Source organism: Homo sapiens, chromosome 11 (assembly GCF_000001405.40).
Source record: "Homo sapiens chromosome 11, GRCh38.p14 Primary Assembly".
Lineage (NCBI taxonomy): Eukaryota > Metazoa > Chordata > Mammalia > Primates > Hominidae > Homo > Homo sapiens.
In genome coordinates this window covers 109,854,078-109,862,113 of record NC_000011.10, presented here as the reverse complement: position 1 = coordinate 109,862,113, position 8,036 = coordinate 109,854,078, and the positions used below count along the sequence as shown (strand labels likewise).

Here is an 8,036-nt window from a genome sequence, read left to right as displayed (position 1 = left end):
CTTTGGTGACTCTAACAACTCTGATATGTCTTCCTAATCACTGTGGTTTGTGTGCTCTTCTTCCTCCTCCTTCATGTGCCCAATGAATTGCTCATTTATACCTGTGCGTTAGGACTCACTAGCCTGTGCAGGATGTGTGTGTATGTGAGAGAGAGAGAGAATGAGAGAGACAGTGTGTCTAATCTTGGAACTCTTAAAAAATAAGGATGGCATATTTTATCTTATATTCCCAGCATGTAATACAGTTCTTGGAACACAGTAGGCATGCAATTAATAAACAAACTCTCAAACTAGTGTTTCTGATTTTTTTTTTTTCTGAGACAGAGTCTCCCTCTGTCGCTCAGGCTGGAGTGCAATGGTGCGATCCTGGCTCACTGCAACCTCCACCTCCTGGGTTCAAGCAATTCTCATGCCTCAGCCTCCCAAGTAGCTGGGGCTATAGGCAAATGCCACCACACCCAGCTAATTTTTGTAATTTTAGTAGAGATGGGTTTTCTCCACATTGGCCAGGCTGGTCTCGAACTCCTTACCTCAAGTGATCCACCCGCCTTGGCCTCCCAAAGTGCTGGGCTTATAGGCGTGAGCCACTGCACCCGGCTATGTTCCTGATTTTATCACAATTTTTTTTCTCAGCATAGTTTTAAAACACATTTTAAACAAAACACAACTTAACTTTGAAAAGATTGGTTTTTTCAAAATATCTAAGATCCAAATCATTATAAAAAATAATGAGTTATACTGACAGATATTTTGGTTCCTCATTTGGGTTCTACAGTATACATACACCCTATATACATACATGTATATATTTCACAGATATTTTTGAATGTTGATGACAGTGATTAGGACAATAGTGAAGGCCAAATTTATAGTCCTAACCTAATTGTTCAGTCTTTCTGTTTGTGTCTTAGAGACTAATGGCATACAAACCAGTATGCTCTTCTTTAAATTTCTTGTCTAGTTCAGTGTGGTATCTTGCTTGGGAACTGTTATGTAAGTGCAGAACAGGTTCAGGATATGGCAGATTGTGGTTATTCTTTACAAAACTTAAGGTTATACAATTTTAAACACGGGAGGTTCTTGGACATGTGAGGAATGTTCCTATTTGCTGCAGAGATATTACCCAAGAAAAGAAACCACCTTTAGTCCAAACATTATTTAAATTGCATTTAGAGACACCACAGCCAATTCATCCTATGCAGAAAAACCCCCTAGGAAGAATATTTATGTTGCAGCTTTTATGTTTTTTAGCTTTATGTGGTTAATAAATATATATAAAGAAGCATATTCAAGGGTGGAACATCAATTTATATAGCATGTAACATAAGTTTATATTACTAAGAAAAAGAGTTTTATTTAACTTAACAATGGTGACTTGTGATCATAGTGCAGAACTGATTAGATTGTCTCTTCACAAGGAAATCTGGATCTAGAACCTAGAACCTGGAGTGCTCTTGCCAGGTTCTGTTGACCCAAATGCCTGAGGTTATCACATTAAATGGAATTAGAAAGCTCTGGATCTGCAATTTAAATCTTCAGGATTTGTGTCTTTATTACTAAGTCCATTATTCCAATATACTGGTCAGAAGAGTGAACCAGGAAACAGAGGTAGAAATACTATTTATTGTTTTGGGGCAACAACCACTTAATTACCCAAGAGTAGGCAAAGGAAACTTTGACTTTAGGAATCACCAGAAATTGTATCTGGGTCATTTGTCTTCTCTACAGGGGACGGTCTTTTATGCGGCAGCAGGGAAAGAGCTGGTTGCCTGATGATACTTAACCATTGGGATTGTTGAGAAGCAATTTTTCAGCTTGCAGATCCTAAGGAAGCAGCTCCAACTCAGATCCTTCCTCATCATTGTTTCTCATCAGGACTGGACGATTCTGCCCATGCAGGTTTTTGGCATCTATAGATCAAGTTTTTGGAAGGTGCAGAATTTCTGTAGATTAGAAGTTTTTCTGTTGCTGTCATTGCAGGAGAATGGAAAGAATGCTGGGGAAAAGTAAAAGCAGAGCCTGGTGCCCCATGAATCCCTTCTGAATTCTCTTGAAGGATATAGGCTACTCCTGAGGCTGGATGCCTGATAGCTCCTGGAAGGAGCCTCATCTTATTTCCCAGAGTCATTGGTGAGAAGACTAGACTCTGCTTCCTTCTCTCACGTGTTTAGAGATCAGTCTTTAAAATAGCTTGGTCAGATGAAAGATTGTTCTTTGGAGGACTCACAGATAAGTGCTTAATAACATGCCCCTACAAAATGTAGAAATCAATAGTGATTTCTATTTAAATAAAGATATCTCCTGTACTCTACAATAAATTGTATTTAGGTCATTCAATTTAATTAAAATTCAAGATATTCAAAGGCCAATTCTTTTTCTCAAAAGCCTTTAGAGGCCTTCTTTAAAGATGTCCATAAAGTTGAGCTCACAGACCCATACAACCTTTTGTTTAAACATAGTCTCAGAGTTGCTCTTAGTCACCGCCTTGAACTTTTATCTTAGTGTATTGTGAATGAGCAGTGTCAGGGATTCTGGCCTTCAGTGAGACCGCTATGGCCTTGGTCATCACCATGATTGATTCTGCAGTGAGTCAGTTTCCATTATGATTCAGGATTGAACCATTTCTTTTGAGGAGGTAAATGAACTCTTCCTGCATCCCCCTGGATACTAATTATCTGGCAGGAGTTAGCCACAGAAATTAAAATCAAATTCTTAGAAAAAAAGACATCTAAAAGGAGGAAGATTCTGCTCAAATTCATTGGAATAAAGAGAATGTATAAGCAAAAGTCTCCTTGATTTAAAGGAAACCAAAGGGTGCTCTCTCTCTAAGCTATTACTCTTGTCGTCTCCATCCACCTCACAGATTCCTTTCCTCCTCCCCTCCTTTCCTGGGTCCTCCCTGCCTGTACTCCATCTCCCTGAATTTGCTCTGTTTATTTCACACTCAGTCTTTGTTATTCACCTAAAAAATTAGTAAGGAACTCATGTTTTTTCTCTCATCTGGAAATCTTCTCTCTTTGATTAAAGGCAATGATTTTGAAATCAGATAGAACTGATTCTATCAGTTCGAATCCTAATGTTTCCTCTTACTAATCTTGGCACATTCTATAAGTTTTTGTTTTAACCACTCCAAGTTTCATTTCTCTCAACAGTAAAATGGGGCTAATTATGTCTCAAAGGATTGTTGTAGAGATTCAGTGAGATAGTGTATGGAAAAGAAGTCTCCAATAACATTGTTTTGAATAATATCCTACCTTTTTTTTTCTGTTTTACTTCATTCATGAGGTTTTTTTTTTTTTTAACCACTTTATTGACATTGTTTTAACCATCTTCTCAATTGCCATAGGAATTTCTCTCAGTGCTCACTTAACATTAACAGCACAGAGGTGGTTTTGGTACCGTGGAGAGGGCACTGGGTCGGGAGTCCTATCATCTGGATTGGATTCCTGACTCTGCCATGTACTAGCTAGACACTGGGTGAGTCCCTTAATCTTTTGAGGCCTGATTTTCTTGCATAAGAATAAGCAGTGCTTACCATATTAGATTTTTTATTAAATAAGGTAATTTCTACTGATGGCTTAATCTGTGCTAAGTCCTAAATTCATTGCACGCATCAATCTCATTTAAAGTTTGAAACAACCCTCTGAGTTAGTTACCCATATTATCACTGTTGTGTTGATGAGGAAGCTGAGGCTTAGAGAGATTAGGTTACTTGCAGGGGTAGAGGTGGGATCTGAGGCCAAGACTGGCTGACACCAGACACGTGCCTGTTGAATACCTAAATACCACAGCATGTTATTCCTGGAAGGGCTTTCTCTTCTCCCAAGAGTGGCACCAGTGAAGGACCTTGAATGTTGTTATGCACTCGACACTGTTGAAATGTGTCATGTATCTACTTTATCTCCTCAGTGAGGTTGTAAACTTCTTTAGGGCCTATGGTGTGTTTTTGTCTTTCGTTCATTTTCTTTTTCCCAGTACCTAGCAGAAGATTGAATTATAATATGCATTTAATAAATTTCCTATTGATTTAACTGTGTGCTCTTACCTTTCTCTCCTCCTAAGAACTGTGTTGAAGGCTTTTGTGTTCAGACAATTCAGTAATGTCTGAATTTAGTTGTCAACAATAACAACACAATAATGATAACAACATTATAGTTAAGAATTCCCAAACACTTACAGCACAGGCAGTTTATGTGGATAATGTCATTTACCCCCTCAGCAATCCTAAACATGACATGTTATATAATTGACCCATTTTATAGATGAGAAAACTGAGTCTTAGAACAATGACATAATGTGCCTAATGTCACAGAACTAGTGAAAGGTGAAGCTCAGATGCTCTGATATGAAACCAGTACCTAGTTCTAGAGCCAAGACTCTTCACTTTTTAAAAACAGGCATTAAATGGGCATAACATTGCCTGACCACTTTCTAAATTTTTGCTTTACAAAACTAGTTACTGTTTGCTACTGAAATGCTTTTTGTAAATATGGTTTTTTATTGTGGTAAAATATACAATACATAAAATTTACCATTTTAATAATTTTTAAGTGTACCATTTCAGTGGCCTTAAATACATTCACATTTTTATGTAGCTGTCACCACCATTTATCTCCAGAACTTTTTCATCGTCTCAAACTATACGGACCCTACCCACTCAATAACAACTTCCCATTCACCCAAGTCTGTATAAGTATTTTCTTCCAAGGTATACACTTGACCATTTCGACTCTTGAGGAGAGGTCTGAAAACTTTGATAATACAGGCCTTTGCAAAATCTGCACCTCTCTATCTTATTCAGCATAGTCCTAGGCCTTGTGACTTTCTCAGTCCTTTATTTCTTATATGATATCAGCAGACCTTGGGTCAGAAAGGTCTTTGGTGATAGATAGCCTGTCCTCTCTGAATCAGCTCTTTTGCAGATTTTTCCTATCTTCAGGACTTGTTCATTTTTCTTCTGTTGCAGCCATATCCCCACGACGTGGGCCCACAATTCTGAGTCACCAGCTTTACTTGTGTCAAAGAAAGTATGATGACAAAGGGAAACTGCTGTATTTATTATTTGCCATAAACTGTGTGCTGACTTGCTCAGAGAGGGAGAATCCCTATATTTTGGGCAGAAAATTCCAGTGTCATCCAAAGCTCAATAATGGGTAGAGTTGAAATGAAACAATCTGGCTAGATGTACTAGAAATAATCCATGTGTATACACAATGAGTTTGTAGAGGGTAATTGACAGACTTTAAGGGCCCTGGTTCTGTTGCCCTTTCACAGATATTCTTCTGGTTGTGGATAGTAGGACATTATTCATCCTGACCAACCCAGTTTATGAAACAACATGGATACAGAGCCAGAGACCACCCTTGTTTCAGGCTTCATGCTATTCAATGTCCTTGTGATAGTCATTGTCACCATATCTCTAAAACAGAGATGATGTCCACAGCAAGGTCATTGGTGGTGGCCATGTAAAGTAGGCCTTATTAACACAATGCCTATATGGATGCAGATACAATTATAGATTATTTTTTTTTCTTTCAGTTTCTAAGCTGATAGAGACCATATTTTTATTTTTCTTAATGGATATAATCTCTCAAAAATTAACTTTTCTTCATTTTTCCACAACCTTCTGGCATCTATATCTGCTTTCACATATGCTATAAATCCCAGGCCTTTTGAACAGGTATATCTTTTTTTGTGTGTGCTTTGCTGAAATCACATTTTTAAGAAATTGAAGGTTTGTAGTAACCCTTTATCCAACGAGTCTACTGGGGCCATTTCCCCAACATCCTGTGCTCACTTCTTGTCTCTGTGTCACGGTTTGGAAATTCTTGCAATATTTTAAATTTTAAATTATTATTATATCTGTTATGGTGATCTATGATCAAGGATCTTTGATATTACTGTTATAATTATCTTGGGGGGCCACGAATCATGCCCACATAAGACAGTTAACTTCATCGATAAATGTTTGTGTTCTGACTGCTCCACAGAACAGCTTTTTCCCCATCTCTTTCCATCTATGCCCCTTTCCTCAGGCCTCCCTATTTCCTGAGACACAGAAATACTGAAATTAGACCAATTAATAATCCTACATTGGCCTCTAAGTGTTCAAGGGGAAGGAAGAGTTGCACGTTGCTCACTTTAAATCAAAAGCTAGAAATGATTAAGCTTAGTGAGAACGGCAGGTTGAAAGCTGAGACAGGCCAAAAGCTAGGCCTGTTTCACCCAACAGCCAAGTTGTGACAACAAAGAAAAAGTTACTGAAGAGAATTAAAATTGCTACTTCCATAAACACACGAGTAATAAGAGTGTGAAACAGTCTTATTGCTGATATGGAGAAAGTTTTGGTGGTCTGGATAGAAGATCAAATCAGCCACAAATATTTCTGTGTCTCAGGAAGTAGGGAGGCCTGAGGAAAGGGGCATAGATGGAAAGAGATGGGGAAAAAGCTGTTCTGTGGAGCAGTCAGTCTGGGCCTTCCAAAACCCAATTTGGAGTAAGGCCCAGACTCTCTTGAATTCTATGAAGGCTGAGAGAGGTAAGGAAGCTGAAGAAGAAAAGTTTGAAGCTAACAGAGCTTGGTTCATGAGGTTTAAGGAAAGAAGCCATCTCTGTAACTTAAAAGTGCAAGGTGAAGCAGCAAGTGCTGATGTAGAAGCTGCAGCAAGTTATCCAGAAGATCTAGCTAAGATCACTGATGAAGGTAGCTACTAAACAACAGATTTGCAATGTAGACAAAACAGCCTTCTATTGGAAGGTGATGCCATCTAGGACTTCCACAGCTAGAGAGGAGAAGTCAATGCCTGGCCTCATAGCTGCAAAAGACATGCTGCTTTTCTTGTTAGAGGCTAATGCAGCTGGTGACTTAGTTGAAGCCAATGCTCATTTAGTATTCTGAAAATCCTAGGGCCCTTAAAAATTGTTATGCTCTATCAATAAAACAACAAAGTCCAGATGACAGCACATCTGTTTAAAGCATGGCTTACTAAATATTTTAATGCCTCCATTGAGACCTACTACTCAGGAAAAAAGATGCCTTTCAAAGTATTACTGCTCATTGAGTAATATTTTAGTAATCCAGGAGTTCTGATGAACATGTACAAGAAGATTAATGGTGTTTTTACACCTGCTAACCAAGCATCCATTTTGCTTGAATCAAGGAGTCATTTTGACTTTCAAGTCTTATTATTTAAGCAATATATTTCATGAGGCTAGAGCTGCCTTAGATAGCAATTCATCTCATGGATCTGGGCAAAGTAGACTGAAAATCTTCTGGAAAGGATTCATCATTCTAGATGACATTAAGGACATTCATGGTTTATGGAAGAAGGTCAAAAATGCACATTAACAGGAGTTAGGCAGAAGTTGACTCCAATCCTCATGGATGAGTTTGAGGGCTTCAAGATTTCAGTGGAGGAAGTAACAGCAAAAGTGGTGCGAATAGCAAGAAAGCTAGAAGTAGAAGTGGAGCCTGAAGATGTGACTGAATTGCTGCAATCTCATGATACAACTTCAATGAATGAAGAGTTGCTTCTTATGGATGTACAAAGAACGTGGCTTCTTTCTTTCTTCTTTTTTTTTTTTTTTTGAGAAGGAGTTTCACTCTTGTTGCCCAGGCTGGAGTGCAGTGGTGTGATCTTGGCTCACTGCATCCTCCGTTCCTATGAAGATACTGTAAAAGTTGTTGAAAGGACAACAAAGCATTTATTTTTTATTTATTTTATTTTTCTTTTTATAGATTTAGGGGGTATAAGTGCAATTTTGTTACATGGTGCATTATGTAGTGGTAAAGTCTGGGCTTTTAGTATAATCATCACCTAAATAGGTATACCTTGTACCCCGTAGGTAATTTTTCATCCCTCACCCGCCACTGAATTTCCCACCTTTTAGAGTTTCCAGTGTCTATTATTCTACTCTGTATGTTAGGTGTACACATTATTTAGCCCCCACTTATAAAGGAAAACATGTGGTGTTTGACTTTCTGTTTCTGAGTTATTTTACGTAAGATAATGGCCTCTAGTTCCACCCATGTTGCC

The 8,036-nt window shown here is 38.3% G+C and overlaps 1 long non-coding RNA gene across 1 annotated transcript, besides 1 other annotated feature; it reads left to right on the top strand.

Annotated features, from left to right (window-relative positions):
* Positions 1,466 to 2,665: an enhancer, noted in NCBI's record as "CDK7 strongly-dependent group 2 enhancer chr11:109730175-109731374 (GRCh37/hg19 assembly coordinates)". NCBI's record gives its function as "activates an origin of replication core promoter dependent on BRD2, BRD4, P300/CBP, MED14 and CDK7 cofactors, with strong dependence on CDK7, by STARR-seq in HCT116 cells {active_cell/tissue: HCT116}" and the evidence as "EXISTENCE:reporter gene assay evidence [ECO:0000049][PMID:35650434]".
* Positions 1,527 to 2,555, top strand: LOC105369483 (uncharacterized). The gene is made up of 3 exons (XR_948003.3): positions 1,527 to 1,608; positions 1,729 to 1,899; positions 1,981 to 2,555. It is a non-coding gene; the product is annotated as an uncharacterized LOC105369483 (long non-coding RNA).